The sequence below is a fragment of the Homo sapiens genome, chromosome 13, assembly GCF_000001405.40.
Source record: "Homo sapiens chromosome 13, GRCh38.p14 Primary Assembly".
NCBI lineage: Eukaryota > Metazoa > Chordata > Mammalia > Primates > Hominidae > Homo > Homo sapiens.
In genome coordinates this window covers 95,018,449-95,042,792 of record NC_000013.11, presented here as the reverse complement: position 1 = coordinate 95,042,792, position 24,344 = coordinate 95,018,449, and the positions used below count along the sequence as shown (strand labels likewise).

General features: G+C 39.9%; 1 protein-coding gene and 1 pseudogene across 4 annotated transcripts in view; one reads left to right on the top strand and one right to left on the bottom strand.

Annotated features, from left to right (window-relative positions):
• ABCC4 (ATP binding cassette subfamily C member 4 (PEL blood group)) overlaps window positions 1–22,958 on the top strand; it is a 281,617-nt gene extending 258,659 nt beyond the window's left edge. For all 4 annotated transcript variants that reach the window (NM_001301829.2, NM_005845.5, XM_047430034.1 and 1 more), the window contains 2 exons: window positions 8,054–8,188; window positions 21,111–22,958. In NM_001301829.2, coding sequence (NP_001288758.1) covers window positions 8,054–8,188; window positions 21,111–21,218 — 243 coding nt within the window. In that variant the 3' untranslated portion in view covers window positions 21,219–22,958. The remainder of the gene's footprint in view (window positions 1–8,053; window positions 8,189–21,110) is intronic.
• RNU6-62P (RNA, U6 small nuclear 62, pseudogene) lies at window positions 23,457–23,558 on the bottom strand (annotated as a pseudogene).

Genomic DNA, 24,344 nt, shown 5'->3' with positions numbered 1-24,344 from the left:
TTAGAGAGACAGCAAGCAAGGACAGAACTTGGCAGACAAGTCAGTTGGTCACTCCTAAATCTGATCAATCAGCTTCTGACCACATAAATGTCTAGTTCACAAGCATCTTCTTGATCCATCAGCGCTGTTACCATTATTGAAGTGTGCCCATTAGTTTATTGCTTTATATACCAGTCCCTCTAGGTAGATTTTGAGAACCTTAATTTTTTTCTCTCTTGAGTAATGTCTTTATCTAAACTCTGAACATGGTTCTACAAAGCAATTTACAGTTGGCCCCTCCCTACCTTTCTAGCCTTTCCTCCCTCTGTTCTCTCTCTTTCCTTTGCAGTAAAAGCCACAGTCCTTTAGTTATTGTCCTTCAGTTCATCAAACGCAGCATTCACTGTTGCGGTCATGCCCTCTCTACACCATGCACAATGGCGGCTTAGACTATGGTGTGAGCAGTGAAGATGGTGCAATGGATAGATTTGGAGTAAATAGCAAAGTAAAGCAACTGGACTGTGATGGATTGAATGTGAGATTTGAGGGAAGACAGGGGTAGTCAGTCCTGGTTTCTCTGTTTGGGACCTGACTATCTGGATGAATGAGGAAGACCCGGAAGAAGTAAACTTGGAGGAGGGAAAGGCAAGCATTCCCTTGGAGGATGTAACTGTTGAGATGACCTTGCATTTCAACATGGAGCTTTCCTTCTCACTCCCAACTCCATTAGTGTCTCCATCTATGGCGATCTCTCCAATGATATTGGGAGAGCTTCCATTTAGGGCTCCCTGGCCACGAGGTCATCAGTGGCATCACAGGAGGTCCTACCAGGAGGTATAAATTTAAGTAAGGAGTCTTATTACAAGCTCTGAATTCTTTGTGAGAACTATTTTCCAATTTTTCTTAACAGGCAGTGGCAGGATTCAGCCTCAGGGAACCCAGGAGACATGCATTCTGTAGCTTGAGATTGGGAACTGGCCTCTATGTTCCCTCAACCCCTAGCTGAAAGCATCTCCTGTATTCTAGAGCTTCTGATCATCAGCCAGCTTTCAATTCGGGGGAACACCATAAATACCATTCTTCCTCAGATCTTTGATTTTGGAGGTGTTTTGTTTTTTTTGTTTGTTTGTTTTTTCCCCTTGTTTGCTTTAGAGATACCGTTCCAGAAAACACATGTTCTGTTCTGTTATTCTGAAAGCTGTGAAAACATAGAGACAAGTGAATCAGCTGCAAAGCTCAGCACTCCAAAAGGCAGGCTCAGGGAGTGGCTGGGGAAGTGACAGATGTTAATGAAGGACATAACCAACACTATTGTCATCATGCAGTCCTGTAATTGCAAGTGCTTAAGGTGTAATAATTACGTTTTGTTGCATTGGTGAATACTTCTCCACAAAGACGGATAGATATAGTTTTGTTTACTGTAAGTAAATCAAACAAAAAGCTTGTTGGGAAACAACTGCGACCTAATTAATAGCTTTGTTTATGTGTTGACTCTCCAAAGGGATTTACCCAGTTTTGGTTCATTAAGCGCCATCAATGTGTTAAGCTTAGAATTTTATTTTATGAAGATGTTCTCCCAGTTTTAACTTTATTAAACATGGTGTAGTCTTAATGACAGCTAATTTAATCTTCATTTGCTCAGTTGCCACAAAACAGTAGAGCAAGACAGACAAATTAGAAATCCTCTTTTTTCTAATACGCACCACTATCTCCACATTAAAGACAGCTTCCTCCCTGTAGTTTTTAGGATTAGCTGGTTACTTGTGACCTGTTTTCCTTTCAGCCAATAGCACAGCCTTTTCCTCCAGTCCCTGCACACCCGTCCTTACAACGCTCTGGATTCTCCCTGGTAGTGTGAGTGAACGAGGAATAAGCGAATCTGCAGTTAGAGAATTCTTCGGGAGTGAATTACAGAGAAGCAAAACCAGGCCTGAGAAATTCAGATTGTAGCTCTTTTCTTTGTAGGCAATCTTATGGGTGTATAATGTATATCTTTCTTTCTAAACCCAAATCTCTTTTTAGTAGCGTTTCCTCAGAGAAAACAAACTAGAAATCGTTCTAGCAGAACCAGCTGGAGAAACACAACTCAAAGCTAACCTGAGTTTTATTTAAATTCTATGTTTCATCTTCATGGAACTTCTCTTTAAGAAACCGACAACGGCCACAATTAGAACATTTCAGAAGAGGAAAAATTACTTCTTGAAAAATATGCTGAGACATTTAATTAAAGTGTTCAGGGGGACAAAGAACTAATGTGAAGGTAGAAAGCACAAACTGGGGCTGGGCGCGGTGGCTCATGCCTGTAATCCCAGCACTTTGGGAGGCCGAGAAGGGCAGATCACCTGAGAGGTCAGAAGTTTGAGACCAGCCTGGCCAACATGGTGAAACCCTGTCTCTACTAAAAATACAGAAAAATTAGCTGGGCGTGGTGCCGTGTGCCTGTAATCCCAGCTACTCGGGAGGCTGAGGCAGGAGACGCTTTTGAACCTGGGAGGCGGAGGTTGCAGTGAGCCGAGATCGCGCCACTGCACTCCAGCCTGGGCGACAGAGTGAGATCCATCTCAAAAAATAAAAAATGAACACACTGGGAGAATAAATACACACAATTGCAGAGCTTTGGGGAAGTGGCTGAGTGGGTCACTGGGACCTACCCTTCATCTTCCCCAGGTGAGAAGAATCATTTACTGTTTCAAGACCTGAGGCAGGATTTTAAGTAATCTTTGCCACATGCCATAGTATCTTGTCCCAGAGAAGAGTCACAGGCACCCATTTTACCAGTGAGGGAACCAATCTCCAACGTCAGATGACTCTCCGTACACCCCTTTCATCATGGTGGCCCAGAAACGACTTCTGAAATGGAAACCCTCCCACCCTCACTCTGCCTGTTGCTAAGTGGGGTTTCTCTGTATTGCTTGCTGCCATAGTGAAAGCTGTTCCGAGCTTTTCTTTTCCTATGGTCAGGCTTTATCCTTCACCCTGCCCTGCCCTTCCCCTGTTCCTGAGATCACCCCACTATCAGCGATGGCATCCTGCCAATTAAATGGATTAAATTGTTTTGCAGTTTGTTCACTTAATTTTTATATCTAGGACAGCTACCTGGAATATCTGCAGATATTTAGGCCTGATAAACACATCTTCATTGAGCTTATGTAACTGAGTAACTGACTAATGCATTCCAGTATAATGTGTTTTTCCTTGACCTTCTAGAGAGCAGCAAGTGATTTGAGGTTTGCATTGCTGGAGAGATCCTGGGGCCACGGGACCAACATCAATGCATGGCTTAGTTTACAGTTTTACTTGGGTAGAGGAAAGGTGAGGACCAAGCAGGAGATTTCAGGACTGTTTTCATGTAGCTACAGAAGATATGAAGATACAAATTCAAGATTATGCCCTTTTTTCTGTACAAAAAGAAAATTCAGAGTCACTTTATTTTGTTGTAAAAGATCTAGAATCTTTGGTCAAATCAGTAAATACAGATTGAGTCCCCTAATCTGAAATCTGAAATGCTCCTAAATCTGAAACTTTTTGAGCTCTGATGTGAAGCTTGTAGGAGACACTCATTGGGGCATTTCAGATTTTGGATTTTCGGATTAAGTATGCTGAATCTGTAAGTATGTATAATGCAAACATTGCAAAATTCAAAAGTATCTGAAATCTGAAACACTTCTGGTCCCAGGCATTTCCTAAGTATACTCAACATGCATAAAGGCTAAGTGGGTAAAGTTCTATTCTTAGCATTTTTTCATGTGCATCCTAACTTGGCCCTTGTAGCATCAGATTGTTCCTTATTTTCTCTTTTCCAATATTTAATTTGTGAGTCAAGCCTCTGCCCTCATTCCTGCTGTGTCTCCTTTTTGCTTTTTCTCTCTCTTGTCTATAGCCATCAACTTGAGGCATGTGGTCCTCCAAGGCTATAGCCTGAATCCTAGCATCCCTATACCTCCTTCCATATCTGTTTTCCAGGGCCAGCTAGACTCTTTCTCTGCTGGATCTCACTCTGTGGTCTTACCAGACTGCACCACTGGTCAGTCACCCAATTGTGCCCTGAATTTCCCTTCCTTTGTATTTAACTTTTAGGCAGTGTGCATGGGGTGCCTGCTCACACGTCATGTGCAATGCCAGGCCATGGAGATGCAACAGTGAACAAGAGCAAGCACATAACCCTGCCCTTGAGGAAGTGATAGGTGAGCTGTCAGACCTCTCGGCATCTGGAATGACCACGGTCCTCCCACCCCTCACCTCCACCACCATTTCTACGTGTCTAAGTCTGTCCATTCCTCAAGGCCCAGTTTGCTATTTTCTCCTCCCTGAAGCTCCTCCTCAGAAATTTTGGCCAGAGGTGACTTCTGCTGCTGCTAAACTCCCGCTTGTTTTGCCTTTTTTCTGGCATTCTAGTCACTTGAGTGTTTTCTTCTGTCTTTTTTTTTTTTTTTTTTTTTGAGTATGGGCTTCCTAAAAGCAGGGGCTGGGACTTACCCATCTTTGCCTCTTCCACAGCATCTAGCATAATGACATGAATGCAGTAAGTGTGCAATAAATGTGTGCTGAATAAATTCAGGAATTCATGAAGGTTCACTTCCATTTTCCTCCAATGTGTTTTGGCAGAGTGTCACTTGCTCATTATTAATCCTGAAACTTTAATGAAGTTTGTTTTCTTGGGCCATATGTGGGGGCTCATGCCTGTAATCCCAGCACTTTGGGAAGCCAAGGTGGGAGGATCGCTTTGAGCTCAGGAGTTTAAAACCAGCATGGGCAACATAGCGAAACCCCATCTCTACAAAGAAACAAAAATTAGCCAGGCTTTGGCGGCGTGCACCTGTAGTCCCAGCTACTTGGGAGGCTGAGGCTTGAGTCCAGGAGGTGGAGGTTGCAGTGAACCGAGACCACACCACTGCACTCCAGTCTGGGTAACAGAGTGAGACTCTATTTCAACAACAACAACAAAAAATTTGTCTTCTTTTTCTGTGAGTATATGCCAGGCACACAGTAAATAATTTTGAGTCCTGGGTGTAATAGGACTCAAATTGTAGTGGAAAGTGAATAGGTGAACTTTTTTATGCTTACAGGCATATTTTTCTTAAAATATGCAGTTATTATCCAAATGAAAAGGTGTCTTAGAAAATTAGCTGTTTACAGTTCTCATTGCCCATATTTTACTTCTGAAAACAAAGAAACTGAAAGTAAATAATAATGTACCTCTGGGAACTCACATGAAGAGGAAAGAAGACAGGTTTACACCCGGGTTCAAATCCCAGCTCTGCCATCTTCCGATTTGTGCAGCCTAGGCTAAGTTGTTTAACTTATTTGCACTTCCATCTTTATCTCTGGCTGTCAGCATCTTGATAGACTGTTTCTTGCTCATCTTTGAATCTCCCATTCCTAAAATGATACTTTGGAAATAGACATTCACTCAATATTGGATGAATGGATGGAAGGAAGGAAATTACCTTATCCATTCTATTTTGGGAGTTTTCTGGGATGACTGTAAAAGCAGAGCATGTTCAACCCATTTTATTTTCCTTTTCAAGTTCACAAACTGATATTTTAGTTATGGGGTGCTTTCATTGATTTTTATGGTAGCCATACTCTTTGTTAGGTCATATTTATATGCCAAGGATGCCTTGTCTCAAATCTTGCAGATTCATCTGCAGCTATAATAATCCAGTTCATTATAAGATACTATATTTGGGGGGTTATTTGGGATTTTGGGGTTTTTTTTTTTTTTTTTTGGACACAGAGTCTCACTCTGTTGCCCAGGCTGGAGTGCAGTGGCATGATCTTGGCTCACTGCATCCTCCACCTCCTGGGTTCAAGTGATTCTCGTGCCTTAGCCTCCTGGGTAGCTGGGACTACAGTTGCACACCACCATGCCCAGCTAATTTTTGTATTTTTAGTAAAGGTGGGGTTTTGTCATGTTGGCCAGGCTGGTTTCAAACTCCTGGCCTCAAGTGATCCACCTGCCTTGGCCTCCCAAAGTGCTAGGATTATAGGCGTGAGCCACTGAACCTGGCCTATATTTTGTTTTAATGCATATCAAAAAAATATTAAAGAGGTCGGTTTTATTTTATATTTTTTAAGTGTGAAACCTTATAGAAGTTAAAATTTTAAGTTCTAGTAAATTATTAAGGTCATGGTTCTATCACCCCTAAACTCAAAAACTCTCCTAACAAATAAAATGCAGTTGCTAAGTTGTTGATATTTATAAGGCTTAAAGTATTTTGACCAAATGATCTTTCTGTCATTTTTATTATTAATCTAATAATAATAATGCTTTTTGAGAACATTATTTTTTTTTTTCTGGCTCTGCCTTTTTAGATTCTGGTCAATTTTGAGAACTCCTGGTCTCAGTGGCATTCATGTGTTTTCAGACAATGAGAGGGAATCTGGAAAGATTTACTAGTCACTCAAATGTGAATAAATTTAGTAGGAATTTGGACAAGGACCAAATAGTAGTAGGACTTCCTTTCCATTAAACATTATGTAAAGTCTTTACAGAGAACTCACTCACTCTCAACTCTGTGGGAATAATTTTTAAAAGTTTACTTGTTGCTTTTGCAGACTAAAACTTCATCATTTTAGCAAGTAATTTGGTTCACTTATTTACTTAGTCTTTAGCATTAGAGAGACCTGTATTTTTAAATTGCAGATTTTTTCCTTCCTCGTCAGGAGGAGTGGTTATGTTCTGTAATGCTATGCTTAAGTAAAATTACACATTTGGGGTATCTAAATTGGCATGCCAAATTATAGGACATTTTAATTGTTATGTGGATGTGACAGATTCAATTATTCTTGAACTCTTTTGAGAAAGCTGCCCTTAGCAGTGATTCACAGTAGTAAACAAAAGATTAACAGGAAAATGCCCTTTATGAGGCTTAATAAATGTGTCCGATTAAATACCATGGGACGGAATTAACTGCAATATCTACATGTAGAAAAACAACCTGTGTCCTGCTTGGAGGTTCAGCATATTCTCTTAAGATAAATTTACTCTAAATATGGCCTAACTGAAGAACTAAGTGCCACTTAACCTCAGAACTGTTTTCCTAGGTACGTCATTTGGGCCAATTGTTCAGACTCTTTCTTCCCTCTGAAACCATTAACCAAAGCCACTAATAAGTAGAAATGCAGAGTTAAGAGCCCCTTCCTCCCTCTTTCAATTTCCAGTGGACATATTAATGAGCAATAAAGCAGCTAAAAGGCAAGCAGCTCAAGAAAGAGAAAGAAGCAAAGAAAGGTGATTGGGAAAACAGATATTCAGCCCTCAGCAATGCAGACTGGGCTGCCCCGTGTGCCATGTGGGCTGTGATCACAGGAATTTGGAGCTCAATTTCTTAATTGGTTCTTTAGTCTTATCCAAAGAGAAAATTGGATTTCTAGAGATTTCTTCTGTGCAGAGAGCAATTATGCTAAAGCTGCTTAGGTAACAGCTTTTTCGGCTAGCCTTTCTCTCTCGGAATAATAAAGTACACCCAGAGCCGATTTCAGAATGCACCTTAACCTCACCATCCAGAGTTTAGCCCCTCTTGGCAGCTGACATGTTCTAGAACCTTAAAGAAATTCCAGAAGCATTTACTTCTTTTCCATTGCTTAGAGTCTATGAAACTGGCTCGGCAATTAATTTACTGTCAGGTCTCTCCCATCTGATTTTTATGACATTACCCTACCTTTTAGATAAATTTAATTTGACTTTCTTAAATCAAGAAGTTTCCCAACTCTGATCATATGTATAAATACCCCTCAAGGCTGAGAGTCTGAGAGTTAAAAGCACTAAGTAATGATAAGAACCCAAAATGCCTTTGGCAGAATATAAAATGCCACAGGACTGCTGAGTGCCCAGAATAATAGTCTAGAACTTTCATTTTCTTCCTTTCCTATAACATTATAGTAATAAAAGGTCAGGTTAGGCCTTTGTTTGCTTCGTAAAACAGGGTAATCAAACCATTTAAATACTATCCAGGCCTACCACCCAAACAGATTCTCTCCCTCTCCTGCCCCTTTCCGAAATATTGTCTCTGTTATAATATGTTACTGCAAAACATTGTGTTTCAATGGGTTTCTTTCTGCTGATTAACAGGTTTTAGATTCAGGAAGACTGAAAGAATATGATGAGCCGTATGTTTTGCTGCAAAATAAAGAGAGCCTATTTTACAAGATGGTGCAACAACTGGGCAAGGCAGAAGCCGCTGCCCTCACTGAAACAGCAAAACAGGTGAGCGTGCTCCAAGGAGTTGTAATTAAAGTTTGTCTCAGCGGCTCCCTCCGCACAATTTGGCACCATGGGTATGGTAACAAGCACTGTGTACCCTTTTCAATTATAAGCCTGCAGAGACAAAGCTTCATGAGTGGGTCTTAACGGCACGTCCCGGGTTGAAGTAAGGTCTGCAAAGAGTTGGCAGAAGCGGGTAGGGGTTGGGGGGTCGAGTGTGTGCACACATGTGTGCATGCCGTGTGCCCAAGAAGCGGAGAGGTGTTAGACCAGACTTTTTACACATTTAGACTCTGTGGGTTCAGATTCTCATAGAAAAAGGCATAGAGCACATAGTACTCATATTCTGCAAACCCATTGCATTTCATTCTTATTGATAGGCAAATGCTGTTGAGGTACATACAGGAGATTTAAGAGTTTGGGCAAAAAGTGTGGGATATTGTTTATTGTTCTAGAATGATCTACCTAGAAAATGTTCTACCTAGATCTACCTAGATTGCTTTTGGTTTCTGTTTTATTATTTGTAAAGAAAACTGTTACATAATACTCTCACTGTTGACCTGGGTTTTCCCCTCATTCTTTGTTGTTTAGAATTAGGCCCATATAGCCCATATGCTTCCTCCACCTTCTATAAGAGGCAGTTGTCAGGCTGGGCGTGGTGGTTCATGCCTGTAATCCCAGCACTTTGGGAGGCCAAGCAGGCAGATCACCTGAGGTTGGGAGTCTGAGACCAGCCTGACCAACACGGAGAAACCCCGTCTCTACTAAAAATACAAAAATTAGCTGGGAGTGGTAGCACATGCCTGTAACCCCAGCTACTCAGGAGGCTAGGCAGAAGAATCACTTGAACCGAGGAGGCGGAGGTTGCGGTGGGCCAAGATCACGCCACTGCACTCCAGCCTGGGCAGTAAGAGCGAAACTCCGTCTCAAAAAAAAAAAAAAAAAGATGTAATTGCCATCAGGACAAATCAAGAATTTATAATATGTTATAGCTATAGCCTGAATAATCCTTGAAGTATGTTTATAAGGCATTAAAGACACGCAGGCTACGTGATCTCTTTCCAACAATGGTGATGTGGAAGTATCTCATTCTACAGATGTGATAACTGCAGTTTGATTTAAGGGACTTAGCCAGATGTCACATGGTCACCTGTAATTCTTCCTTAAAATTCTGTGAGGTGAGAGTTGTATTGATGGAGGGAGGGAAGGAACATCCAATGTTCTTGGCTTAGGGTGGAAGGAGACTTCTAGCAGTACATGGTGAGGCTCCCATCAAAACTGTTCATCCATAGGCAGTATAATATGGGTATAATTTTCCTTCATTGTTTTCTGTATTTTTCAGGTTTTCATCACTGTAGGTAGAATAAAATTGCTTGTTTGTGTGTAATATTTTAAATATCTATTACAGACAACAGAATAAGAAAATAGGGGCCAACATGGTGAAACCCCATTTCTACTAAAAATATAAAAATCAGCTGGGTGAAGTGGCGATTGCCTGTAATCCCAGCTACTCGGGAGACTGAGGCAGGAAAATCACTTGAACCTGGGAGGTGGAGGTTGCAGTGAGCCAAGATCATGACACTGCACTCCAGCCTGGGCGACAGAGCGAGACACCATCTCAAAAAAAAAAAAAAAAAAAAAAGACCAGGCGTGATGGCTCACACCTGTAACCCCAGCACTTTGTTTGGGAGGCCGAGGCGGGTGGATCACAAGGTCAAGAGATAAAGACCATCCTGGCCAACATGGTGAAATCCATCTCTACTAAAAATACAAAAATTAGCTGGGCGTGGTGGCACACATCTGTAGTCCCAGCTACTCAGGGAGACTGAGGCAGGAGAATAGCTTGAACCTGGGAGGCGGAGGTTGCAGTGAGCTGAGATGGCGCCACTGCACTCCAGCCTGGCAACAGAGCGAAACTGCGTCTCAAAAAAAAAAAAGAAAAAAGAAAAAGAAAATATGTTCCCATATCTAATGGTATTTCTGTATTAAAGATTTATCCAAATAAAACCTAGGTTGCCTTCAGCTCCTATTTCATCTCATTCTCCACAGAAGTGAGGAACTATCCTTGCCACTGTCTGTAGGATATTTCTTTGAATCCTGCATTTATCCTCAAAACGATTCTATAAATGCCTTTGTGTGCACAGTATTACGCTGGGCACTAACAAATACATTAAACATGCCCCTAGTCATTGACAATATAAGCCAAAGAATAGAGCAGAGCAGAGATTTGATTGATGTGGTGAGCCCTGATGGCAATGATGATGATGATGATATGTGTCAGATGTGCACTGTGCACTTCTCATTATGCCTGTTTAAGAGGCTGAGGCATAGAGAGGGAAGGAAATTGCCCATGATCTCATAGCTAGCAGAATTATAGGCAGAGTCCGGATTCAAGCCTGGCTTTAGGATCGACAAAAATCTGTGTTCTGAATTTTCATAAGAATCACATTGTGTATGAATAAAGAGGGAAGCTGTACTTGAAGCACTGTATTTCTTTTATACTTGAAATTTACAGAATACTTTTATCTTCTAGCGTGTCTCCCAGCCAAAGCTTCCCTCATAAAACCCGATCAATCATTTGGGATTCCCTGTATAATCTAGTCACAAAAGAGCCAGGAACCTCAAAAACCCTTTTTGTTCTTTGGTACCTCAGGCATTTCACATCAAAGAGATGTGTCCCTATCTATATATCAAAATACCTATTTAAAAAATATGTTATATATTATCAAGGCATGGAGTAATAAGAAATAGGTCATAGAATTTTAGCATGTTCCAACTAACATAAGATAATATAGTTCACCTTTGTTTTACAGATGAGGAAACTAAGGCCCCAAGAAGTAAGTGGGCCCTGACTAATTTATAGCAGAGACAGAATTAGGAATCTTTTTTTAAATCAATGTTTAATGCAAGTATAACATACATATAGAAAGGGACATTGGTCATAGAATTGAAATCTCAATTACTGGTCCAGTAATCTTCCATCTAATTCAACAATATTAATCGTAACTTACGTTCGTATAGTTCTTTATAATTTATTTTACATTGTTTACATAGTTCTTACATGTATGATTCTACTTAATCCTCACAGCAGTCTGTAAGTCTTACTGTATTGATGAGGATGTTGGGTCATGTGTCTTCATGTGGACACAGAGCTGGTCCGTGGAGAACAGAAGGTAGATTGCTGGGGGAGGCCGATGTCTTCCCCTAAGTAGCGTTCTGTGTCAAGCCTGAAAACGCTGCTCCTTGTCTCATTTGGTATCCAAGATGCAGCTAGTCGCCCAAATTCACACAGTGGCAGAATTTCCTTCCTGGATTTTAGTCCTGCCTAACCACTGGCTCAGGTCACCTCCTCTACAGAAAGACATAAGGAAATACACAGCTTGATTCTCATCCAAGTTGAATATTTTCTTGACATTTCTGCATACACTTGGTCCTCTTAGGAGAACAAGCTGTCAGATTGTCAACCTTTTAAATGTGCAAGCATCAAATATCAATGCATCATTCACAACTGTAACACCATGAGGATTAGTCTAAATCAACAAGCTTTTCGCTCTCACAGATTAGAATTCATTTGTTGGAAGGAAAACTCAACATCTGGGAAAAGGTACTTCCAAGTCACGTATTCTTGACCACGGAGTTGCTTTCCTGAAAATGCTGGTGCAGGCAAAGCTGAGTCTCTCTTTTGACTGACCTTTGCAGATGACTCAGTATTTTAATATTTTAAAGTAAATTTAAATTGCATAATTACATTTCAGGTACATAAAGCTGAAGGGTGCACTGGTTTGCTCAGGCTGCCATAGCAAAGTAGCACAGACTAGCTGGCTTAACCCACAGCAGATTATGTTCTCACACTTCCGTGCTGGAGTCTGAGATCAGGGTGTCAGCAGAGCTGCTTTCTTCTGAGGCCTCTCTCCTTGGCTTGCAGATGGCTATATGTTCACGGGGTCTGTTCACGGGGTCTTTTCTCTGTGTATGTCTGTGTCCTGATCACCTCTTTCTCTAAGGACACCAGTCATATTGGATCAGGGCCCACCCTAAAGGCCTCATTTTAACTTAATTACACCTTTAAAGACTTTCTCCAAATACAGTCACATTCTGATGTACTTGGGGGTTAGGACTTCAACATAGGAATTTAGGGGGATGCAAATCAGCCCATAACACAGGGTAAATTCAATCATTGTCTTCCCTGATGAAGCCGACCTAATTTGAGGTTCCCAGTGAGTAACAGAGGTGCCATTTTATGCACTCATGAAATTGCCAGATACAACTCAAAAGTTATGAAATCCTGGCCAGGTGTGGTGGTTCACACCTGTAATCCCAGCACTTTAGGAAGTTGAGGCGGGTATATCACTTGAAGTCAGGAGTTCGAGACCAGCCTGGCCAACATGGTGAAACCCTGTCTCTACTAAAAATAAAAAAATTAGCCAGGCATGGTGGCGCATGCTTGTAATCTCAGCTACTCGGGAGGCTGAGGCTGGAGAATCACTTGAACCCAGGAGATGGAGGTTGCAGTGAGCCTACGTCACACGACTGCACTCTAGCCTGGGCGGCAGAGCAAGACTCCGTCTCAAAAAAATATGGATGGATGGATGGATGGATGGATGGATGGATGGATGGATAGATAGACAAGAAGTCCTGACATCCTGGATCCTAGGAGCCTGGGGCCTGTTTGAATAGGTGGAGGAGACACTTAGCAGCCAATGGCCTTACAGAAGTCACCCAAGGCCTGTGAGCCTCAGAGGCCTCACCTGTCATGCCAGGATTGCAGTACTGCTCCGGTTTCTTCACTGTTAACATGTATTAAATGAGATAGTGTATGTTTAAGTGAGTCAAAGAATATAAGGTGTTTTACAAATATAAGCGAATTCTAGCTATTGGTTATAAAAGCTCAGTACTTTTTTAAGACTGTAGACTGAACTCTTAGCTCCCAATAATAGCAAAAGAAGTATCCAAAGTTTTGTAGCTTTATAGACTAAATAATTACAAATTATTTTTAAGAATCAGCTTACCAAATGATATATGCTCATGTTACAAAATTCAAAGCATTGATAGTTTTGCAAAAAACTTTAATAAGTAAAAAGTAAGTCACTCTGCCACACCTGCCCTTCATCACGCAGTTCCTCTGCCAGGTTTCAGCCCTGGCACCTTCTTCTCCACTTTGTTGATGTATTCTGTGCATAAACAAGCATCTGTGCATATATAGCTTTTCTGGTTTTTGAGCACAAATAATAGCTATTCTTTACGGTTTTTCACTTAATATTATATTCCATATTATATCAATACATATAGTTACCTCATTTTATTTTATATGTGTATTTTTTATTAGCGTTCTCTCTCTCTCTCTCTCTCTCTTTCTCTCTCTCTCTCTCTCTCTCTCTCTCTCTCTCTCTCTCTATATATATATATATATATATATATATATATATATATATATATATATGTATTTTTTTTAAAGCAGTTTCACTCCTGTTGCCCAGGCTGGACCTCTATGGTGCAATCTCAGCTCACTGCAGTCTCCATCAAGTGATTCTCCTGCCTCAGCCTCCTGAGTAGCTGGGATTACAGGCGCCCACCACCATGCCTGGCTAATTTTTTTGTATTTTTAGTAGAGATGGGTTTTTACCATGTTGGCCAGGCTGGTCTTGAACTTCTGACCTCAGGTAACCCACCCACCTTGGCCTCCCAAAGTGCTGGGATTACAGGCGTGAGCCACCATGACCGGCCAGTTACCTCATTTTTTAATGGCTACCTAGTATTTATACTTTTTCCACTCTGTACTTTTCACTTTTCCCAATTAACTTCCAATTAAGTTAGCTATTTTTGTTTTTTTCCTGGTGAATGACTTACCAGATTTATTTACTAGTTTATATTCTGTTTTCCAGTTGATCAGTTTCTGCTTTTATCTTTATTACCTTTGTTTTTTGGTTTTTCTCGTTGCTTCTTCTTGAATGCATTTGTGTCCATTCTTTCTTCCTTAGTATTTTAGCGCTGTGAATTTTCGTATTCTGTTGGTTTTGATATGTAGTGCTTTCACTCATAGTTTATTTTTTATTTATACATTCTGCAATTTTGGATTTTAATTTTCTCTGGCCCAGAAATTATTGAAGAGGGAAGTTTTTAAAACTTTTTGGTGGTAGCGGTTTGTTTTTTCTGTTCATTTCTTTTCTGTTTTACGCATCAGTTTCATTTTCATTGCATGTCATCCATATCCTTTCTATCCATTTGGAATTTTCTTTGTGTCCTAGTTTTTCTAGATGTTCTTTGGGCATTGAAAAGATGGTGTTATCTGTTTAAGGTATAGAGTTTAATAAGGTTTAATTAGTTCTACTTTGTTAATTACATTCTTATTAATCCTTATTTATATTGGTCTATTTTCTGTGACTTGGATCTAGAGGTGAATTAGTTTCACACTGTACATATTTCTCTTTGTAGTACCTGTCATTTTTGTTTTGGTAACTTTGATGCTATGGTTTTCAGTCCACAGATGTTCATAACTTGGGTTTCCACTATGAATTATATTTCCTGCCATTTTAACACACCTTTCTTTGATTCGTGTAATGGTTTTGGTCCTAAATCCACACTGGTTCAAAACTAGACTGGGTCGCGTGCTTTTACTTTGCTTTCTTTGTCTGCTATATATGGGATTGTCTTTGAATATCCAAAGGTGTGTCTCCTGTATATGGCGTGGTTAGGTTTTACTCTGAGGTTTAATCTTAGCCTTTGTTTTTAATAGATGATTTTAGTACATTTACATTTATTGAGATTATAAGTATGTTTTGTCTTAGTTCTGTCATGTTATGCTTTCAGTTTTTAGTATTCCTTTTTACCTTTTAATTTGTAGTAGATAATTTTTGTTTCTTTGAATATTGTTTTGCATGTGTTCCTTTTGTTTCCTCTAAATGCTGTTTCTTGACTCCCCATTATAAACAATAACAATATAAATACACTTCTGTCTCCATCCTACCACCAAATTTTAGCTTAGTTTTTCTTCTATTTGCCTTCAAACCCCAAATATACTTAAGCCTCTGTTATTTGGCTTTTCTTTAAATGATACTTTCTCCATCTTTTAGTTAGCTAAAGTTTATCCTTCAGTGCTTTTTAAACCTCAGGCTACAACCCACTAGTGGTGCTGTGGAATCAATTTGGTCCATCATGACTAGTGTGTTTTAAGATGTAAAATAGAATACAATGGAATAGAAGAAAAATAACATGTATCTTTCATAGTAATGGTAATATTTTTTGAAATGCTTTTCAGTATAGATACAGATATAGGTAGTGGATGCGTACCAAGTCCCTGTGTACAGTGAAATGTGCCACCCATTATTGTGGGTGGCAGTTTAAAAAAAAAAAGTTGCAAAACAATGCTCTATACCATCTCAAAGGGAAAGGTTCCTTGGAATTTAGAATCCCTGACTTATTGCATGTCTGAAATCTTTGTTACCCCTCTGATTTAAATGTGGTGGCTGTACCATGGCACACATTTACCTATGTGACAAACCTGCACGTTCTGCACATGTTATCCTGGAATTTAACATAAAAATAAAAATTTTAAAAAGTTGTGGATATAAAATTATTGGGTCACACCTTCTTTCACTTAGTATGTTGCAGCCTTTGCTCTAAGGTCTTCTCGTGTTGTCTGTTCATATGGAGACATCTATGACCATGTTTGACATAACTCAGCCTTTTTTCTTTCTTTCTTTCTTTTTCTTTTTTTTTTTTGAGACAGGGTCTTGCTCTGTTGTCCAGGCTGGAGTGCAGTGGCACAATCATAGCTCACTGGAGCCTTAACCTCCCAGGCTCAAGCAATGCTCCCTTCTCAGCCTCCCTTAAAGCTGGAACTAGAGGCACATGCCACCATACCTGGCTAATTTTTTTTCCCCCCATAGAGACAAGGTCTCACTGTGTTTTCCATGCTGGTCTTGAACTCCTGGGCTTAAACCATCATCCCACCTTGGCCTCCCAAAGTGCTGGGATTACAGATGTGTGCCACTATGCCCAGCCAGATCTTTTTTCTTGTATGCTGAAAGGGTCATTAGTTTTCCTAGGACATTATTGTGCAGTCTTTCAGACTTTGATTCAAGTTTTCTTTTTTTTCTGGAAGTTTACTTGAATTATATCCTTGAATTTTTTTATTTGATTATATTCTCTTCTTTACAAATATCTATCATGTATATGTTTTATGTCCTTTGTCTATTTTGTAAAGCTATTTTCTCCTTAATCCTTTTTAGTTCTTTATTAACTTTTAGTTATTTTGTTTGTTTGCTCAATCCTATCCTGTGTCTCACACTGTTTTTTCAGCATTGGCTAATCTTTGTGCTGCCTTCAGTAGAAATGCCACTTATTTTTTTATTTTTTATTTTCCCTTTTTTGAGACAGAGTCTCCGTCTATTCCACAAACTGGAGTGCAGTGGCGTGCTCTTGGCTCACTGCACCCTCCAACTCCCGGTTCAAGCAATTCTCATGCTTCAGCCTCCCAAGTAGCTGGGATTACAGGTGTGCGCCATCACAATTGGCTAATTCTTGTAGTTTTACAAGATTTCATTATGTTCATTATATGATACAAGTTTTCATTATGTTGGCCAGGCTGGCCTCGAACTCCTGGCCCTCAAGTGATCCTCCCACCTCAGCCTCCCAAAGTGCTGGGATTACAGGTGTGAGCCATTGCACCTAGCCCATTTCTTTGATATTTTCACTTTTCTTTTCCACTTCACTTTTGACCACTGTCAACTCATGTTTCAGCATCTTCTGTTGCTCTGCCATGTTTTCCTGTATTTTTGTATCTCTGTTATGCACAGCCTGATCATTCTGCTGCATTTTCTTTGAATGAATTATATTCATAAACTCTATGTGCTCAACATTTGTCATGTGTTTATCTTACTTCATTTCTTATTTGTATAATCTCCAGGCCCTGTACTACTCTTAAAATTATAATAATAATTTTTATTATTCCTACTCCTCACCTATGACTAAAACGAACTCTTCCTAGACCAGATAGTTACAGGATAGTTGTGGCTAGGGCCTTGTTTCTGGCTAAAGGGAATTTTCTGTGCTTAATGTAGAAGTACTTTATGACCCAGAGAGGCTGCGTGTGTGGTGGGGGGGATGCAGGGAGGGATGTGAGTGTGTATGTGTATGGGTGTGTGGGTGTGTGGGTGTGTGTGTGGGTGTCAGGGGATGTGGGTGTGTATGGGTGTGTGGTGGGGGTATGTGTGTGGGGGTGGGAGGGTGTGTGTGGGGTGTGGGTGTGTGTGGGGGTGTGGGTGTGTGTATGGGTGTGTGGGTGTGGGTGTGTGTGGGGGGTGGGCGTATGTGGGTGTGTGTGGGGGTGTGTGTGGGGGTGTGGGGGTGTGTGTGTGTGTGGGTGTGTGTGTATGGGTGTGTGTGGGGGTGTGTGGGGGGTGTGGGGGTGTGTGGTGTGGGTGTGTGTGGGTGTGTGTGTGTATGTGAAATTGAGAGTGCATGTTTTGCCTTTCTTCCTCCTTAGCTTACAGAATTGGGCAATTGCAATCTGTCTTCTGTCAGGACCTCACCAATGTACATAGGTCAGTCAAAGATGTTTCTAATTGATTCTTTATTGACATACCTTAGCGCTCCTCCAATTAACTGGAGAATTCCTATGATTGTTGAGGCTTGCTCTTCATAGACATCTTCTCAGCCTTGCCACAGCCCCATTGGTTCCAGTTGCATATGGCAGCCCTTCATGATATTTTACCATTCAGGCTCTCCTGATTTCACAAAGATTTAGCTTATTTTTTATTAATGAATATCTTTGATGTTCAGAGTGGTTTCTGAAAGGAAAAGGAGAGGAAATTCATTACTCCATTATATTAAAAGCAGAAGTCCTTTCTAAGTCTCCATTACTCTTTGACAATATGCATGCCAATTATGTACACCAAAATTAGACTGGCTTTAAAAATGATGAACTTGAGGCCTTGAGAGTTACTGTGATTGAATTAGGGCCATACACATCAGTAAAAATGAACTGACAGGGTCTTGAGCCTGAATTCAACACATCAGATGGTATCTTAGGAATGCAATGTCAATCAAAGCCCAGTTGCTCTCCTTTGTCCACGTGCGGGAGCTTGTATTGCTCTGTTGATTTTAGTAAAATCTAGCTCTGTTACGGTGGCTTTACTGATGAGTTAGAGTTTAAATATGAACTTAGTTTCAACCTACATTAGAGGAACTATAATGGAGCAAACTCAAGAGAAGAAGGAAAAGAGGGACAAGGTTTCCCATACTCACTGACCTGATACTCTTCTTGCCGCAAACGTGAACGCTTATGGCATTGTCTCCCTTAAGCTTCACAGTCCTTCTGAACTGCTGTTATTATCCCCTTTTGACACATGAAAATGCTAAAGTACAAGAAGCTGAGTAACTTTTTTTTTTTTTTTTTTTTTTGAGACAGTCTCTCACTCTGTCACCCAGGCTGGAGTGTAGTGTTGCAGTCTCGGCTCACTGCAATCTCTGCCTCCTGGGTTCAAGTGATTCTCCTGCCTCAGCCTCCCGAGTAGCTGGGACTACAAGCGTGCACCACCATGCCTGGCTAATTTTTGTATTTTTCGTAGAGATGGGGTTTCACCATGTTGGCCAGGCTGGTCTCAAACTCCTGACCTCAAGTGATCCACCTGCCTTGGCCTCCCAAACTGCTGAGATTACAGGTGTGAGCCACCACGCCCAGCCTGAGTAAGTTTTCAAAGCCACCAGTTCAAAAGTGTTCATACTCCATCTTCTATGATCTTTCAGTTCTACCTTTCTGCCTCCCAGGTTACCATATTCATTCAGTTGAAATTGTCTCAGCCACAGCTTTGGGATTCTGTAAAGATAAAAGATGCACCAGAGGGATTCCTAAATGCTTTGTCTTCATCCTTCGAGCTGGGCGATACCTCCACGTTCTGTGTGCTTAGGGGCCACTTCTCTGAGCAGCATTCATCATGACACCCAACACTAATGCAGCAGGTTTTCAACCTGTAGTTTGTAGCCATTAATCAGTTCCTGTGACGTAAGCTATTGTTATCTCATGTTACAGATGAGGCAGCTGGTAGAGAGAGTGGTTAGGTAATTTTTCCAGAATCAGCAGTGAATCCAGGAGAGAGCTGAGACTGGACCTGTCTATCCCAGACATAGCTTACAACATGAGGGCTTTGCTAAAAGTAGTTCAGTAATCTCAACTCCCTTCATCACCTGCACTGTAAAAAAGATGTTTCATCTCACCTGTGCTGTTACCCATAGTGTGTTATAAAACCTGGTAGCAGAAGAGAAAAAGAAAGGTCAAATCAAAGAATATATACACAGGAAGTTTGTTTTTGACTAAGTATTTCAGACCATGAAGCTAAGACCATTTGGGTTTAAAGTTGCTAATAACAACACTTTCTTTATATATATTTAAAAAAATACATCAAGAGGGTTACACAGAAGGAAGCAGCCTATTTGGGGAAGGCTATCAAGCAGTAGAAAGTGATGTGAATGTCTATTTGTTCTTTTGGCTGTTTTTAGTTTCACTACAGAATAGCCTTTTTGGAGTACATAAATCTATAACCACACAAAATATGGCTAGCTTAAAAAAGTGGGAGAGGGAGATGATATGAAATTATCCCCTGAAAAGTCTTACTTTTGAACACTTGCATTATAATGGAAATAGCCTCAGATTTCTTCTGGTGGCATTCCAGCATTATTGGACAATTTATTTTCTCCTTAAGTGACATTTTAGTACATTGTGTGTTATATGTAATGATATTTCTGGAGTAACAAGTGTGCAAGAAGTGAGAGAAAAAGAAAGTACACTTAATATGTAGGCAGGTGTCTCAGCACTTTCTTTTTTGTACGTGAATCCCATTATCTCCAGTGATAACTTTGTTGACAGCACCCACCAATATATTCAGAGCAAGGTTTTATAAAATAGATCCAGAATCGTATGACTAAGAGACCCAGGTGACACGTGTCAGCCTCAGATAGTTGCTACATTTTCTGTTTTAAAGATTCAAACAAAACTTTTCACATTCTTCTTTGGGGAAAAAAAATTACATTTGAAGTCCTTTTTCACCCAAACACGTTTTGAGATAAGAGCTCACAAGTCTTGACATTATTTCATTTTGTTATGCGCATCTGTCAAGGAACCAAGATACGATACAGCTACTAAAAACTGATGATTGTGGAACAGAGAAACTTGACAGCATTTCATTTCCTTTATGTTCTGATTATACGTTTATCAGAAAACCTGTATCTCTTCTAGTTCAGCTAGAAATTGGTAGAATTCAGGAACTCAAAGGCTTGGCAAAGAACTGTCCTATTATTTGGTATCATCTTACATTTTAGAGAAGTTGCTTGGTTGAGTCATTGTTAAAGCTTTTGCTTCTCTTTTCATTATTGTGGGCCACTATCCACAGACCACATTTCTATAGGCCCTATAACTGCTTTGCCGCACAAATTAAACGCCGGGATGTTTCATACGTATATGCCAGCATTTCAATGCTTGTCAATCAGAGTTTATAAAATATAGGGATTACAACTTGATATTAACATCCAAATCTATTGTGCTCATTTTACGTGTGAAAATGAGAAACCCTCATGCAGACGCTAGATTTCCCAGCCTCTTTGTCACCCTGTTTTTAATTTATCTCCAGGTTTTGAGTCAGTAAAATGATTCCGCTTATCAATTTAATACAGAGATAAAACATATCTATGAATCAGAGTGATCGGAACTAAAATGGATCTACAGGTTGTTTGGCATTCAGCCCAGCCCTGCTGAGGGTTTTAGTGGGGCTAATTTCTCTGTACAGTAGATTCATCCCTGTTCTTAAATTGTGCCTCAGTGAGGGATATGATTTGCTTCACATGAAGAAGTAGACACAGAAGTGCATTGTTTCAGGGAGGAGACTTTAAAATTTTGAAACATTCTTTTTATGCTTACCTTTTTTTTTTCTAGGTATACTTCAAAAGAAATTATCCACATATTGGTCACACTGACCACATGGTTACAAACACTTCCAATGGACAGCCCTCGACCTTAACTATTTTCGAGACAGCACTGTGAATCCAACCAAAATGTCAAGTCCGTTCCGAAGGCATTTTCCACTAGTTTTTGGACTATGTAAACCACATTGTACTTTTTTTTACTTTGGCAACAAATATTTATACATACAAGATGCTAGTTCATTTGAATATTTCTCCCAACTTATCCAAGGATCTCCAGCTCTAACAAAATGGTTTATTTTTATTTAAATGTCAATAGTTGTTTTTTAAAATCCAAATCAGAGGTGCAGGCCACCAGTTAAATGCCGTCTATCAGGTTTTGTGCCTTAAGAGACTACAGAGTCAAAGCTCATTTTTAAAGGAGTAGGACAAAGTTGTCACAGGTTTTTGTTGTTGTTTTTATTGCCCCCAAAATTACATGTTAATTTCCATTTATATCAGGGATTCTATTTACTTGAAGACTGTGAAGTTGCCATTTTGTCTCATTGTTTTCTTTGACATAACTAGGATCCATTATTTCCCCTGAAGGCTTCTTGTTAGAAAATAGTACAGTTACAACCAATAGGAACAACAAAAAGAAAAAGTTTGTGACATTGTAGTAGGGAGTGTGTACCCCTTACTCCCCATCAAAAAAAAAAATGGATACATGGTTAAAGGATAGAAGGGCAATATTTTATCATATGTTCTAAAAGAGAAGGAAGAGAAAATACTACTTTCTCAAAATGGAAGCCCTTAAAGGTGCTTTGATACTGAAGGACACAAATGTGACCGTCCATCCTCCTTTAGAGTTGCATGACTTGGACACGGTAACTGTTGCAGTTTTAGACTCAGCATTGTGACACTTCCCAAGAAGGCCAAACCTCTAACCGACATTCCTGAAATACGTGGCATTATTCTTTTTTGGATTTCTCATTTATGGAAGGCTAACCCTCTGTTGACTGTAAGCCTTTTGGTTTGGGCTGTATTGAAATCCTTTCTAAATTGCATGAATAGGCTCTGCTAACGTGATGAGACAAACTGAAAATTATTGCAAGCATTGACTATAATTATGCAGTACGTTCTCAGGATGCATCCAGGGGTTCATTTTCATGAGCCTGTCCAGGTTAGTTTACTCCTGACCACTAATAGCATTGTCATTTGGGCTTTCTGTTGAATGAATCAACAAACCACAATACTTCCTGGGACCTTTTGTACTTTATTTGAACTATGAGTCTTTAATTTTTCCTGATGATGGTGGCTGTAATATGTTGAGTTCAGTTTACTAAAGGTTTTACTATTATGGTTTGAAGTGGAGTCTCATGACCTCTCAGAATAAGGTGTCACCTCCCTGAAATTGCATATATGTATATAGACATGCACACGTGTGCATTTGTTTGTATACATATATTTGTCCTTCGTATAGCAAGTTTTTTGCTCATCAGCAGAGAGCAACAGATGTTTTATTGAGTGAAGCCTTAAAAAGCACACACCACACACAGCTAACTGCCAAAATACATTGACCGTAGTAGCTGTTCAACTCCTAGTACTTAGAAATACACGTATGGTTAATGTTCAGTCCAACAAACCACACACAGTAAATGTTTATTAATAGTCATGGTTCGTATTTTAGGTGACTGAAATTGCATCAGTGATCATAATGAGGTTTGTTAAAACGATAGCTATATTCAAAATGTCTATATGTTTATTTGGACTTTTGAGGTTAAAGACAGTCATATAAACGTCCTGTTTCTGTTTTAATGTTATCATAGAATTTTTTAATGAAACTAAATTCAATTGAAATAAATGATAGTTTTCATCTCCATTCAGAGATCTGTATTTCTGTGCTTCAAGGGATTCCTGACTCATGTTCTTGCTGATGAATGCCAGTGAGTTTTCCTGAGATCGAAAAATACAGTATCAAAGGATACCTTCTATCATCAACCGGTTCTCTTGGCAAATTAGGTGTACCAAGTATTCTAACGGGTAGATTTCAGTGGGTTTCAGACAGTTTGAAGCAGTTGCTATTTAAGCAAGTCCATTTGCACCATTCTAGGAAGAAAGAGTATTAGCTTATGCCTCAGGCTTGAGCAGTATTAAATGGTTGAGGTTTTTGCTTTTGGTTTTGGTTTTTAAGGTGACTTTGTCCAAAACTAACAAGAAACATCTACCGCTGTTACGCTGAAATCACTATTAAATAATGATTCTCAAAGTGTGGTCCCTGGACCAGCAGCATACCGCATCACCTGGGAACTCGTTAGAAATGCACCTTTTTGTGCCTCACCGCAGATCTACTGAATCAGAAACTCTGGTGGTGGGGGCCAGGAATGTGTGTTTTAACAAGCCATAGGGTGACTTTTTTTAAGGGGCCATGCTAATCTCTGTATCATTACAATTTTAGTATATGTGCTACTGAAGCGAGCGCCCTAAGTGTGATTCTGATGCAGGCTAAAGTCTGAGAACCAGTACCATAAACTTAAAGAACTCTTAAAACTCATTAAGAAAAACACAGAAAGCCCAATTAGAGAAATGGACAAGAGATTTGAATGGGTATTTCACAAAAGAGAATATCCAAATGGCCAATAACTGGAAAAGTGCTCACTCTTTATTAGTTACCAGGGAAATGCAAATTAAAAGCACCATGAGATACCACTAGACACCCACTAGAATGTGTAAAATGTAACAGACTGAGAATACCAACCCAGTGCCAATGAAGCAACAGGAATTCTCAGGTACTGCCATGTAAGTACATTGAAAAACCATCTTCGGAAAACAATTTGACAGCATTGACTCAAACTGCACACTCTGCGATCTGTCTGTAGCACTCCAAATGTGTACACATGTGCACCAAGAGATGTTGTCAAGGATGTTCCTAGAAACATAATTCCTAACAGCCCAAACGAGATAATCCAAATACTCATCAGCAGCAGAAGGAAAACAAATTATGAGGTATTAAAATACTTCTACAGCAATGAAAGCAATTGACTACATGAAGAACTCATGAGTTTCACAGACATGATATTTATTCCAAAGAAACCTGGCCCAAAAGATTATTTATGATCCCATTTATATAAAATTCAAAAATGTTACAGCTGAACAAAGGAGTGCAACACCAGAACAGTTCATAACTTTGGGGAGATGGAAGGTGTTGGTAATTAGGGGAAATACACATGAATCTTCTACGATACTTAAAATACTTTTTGTGGCTGGG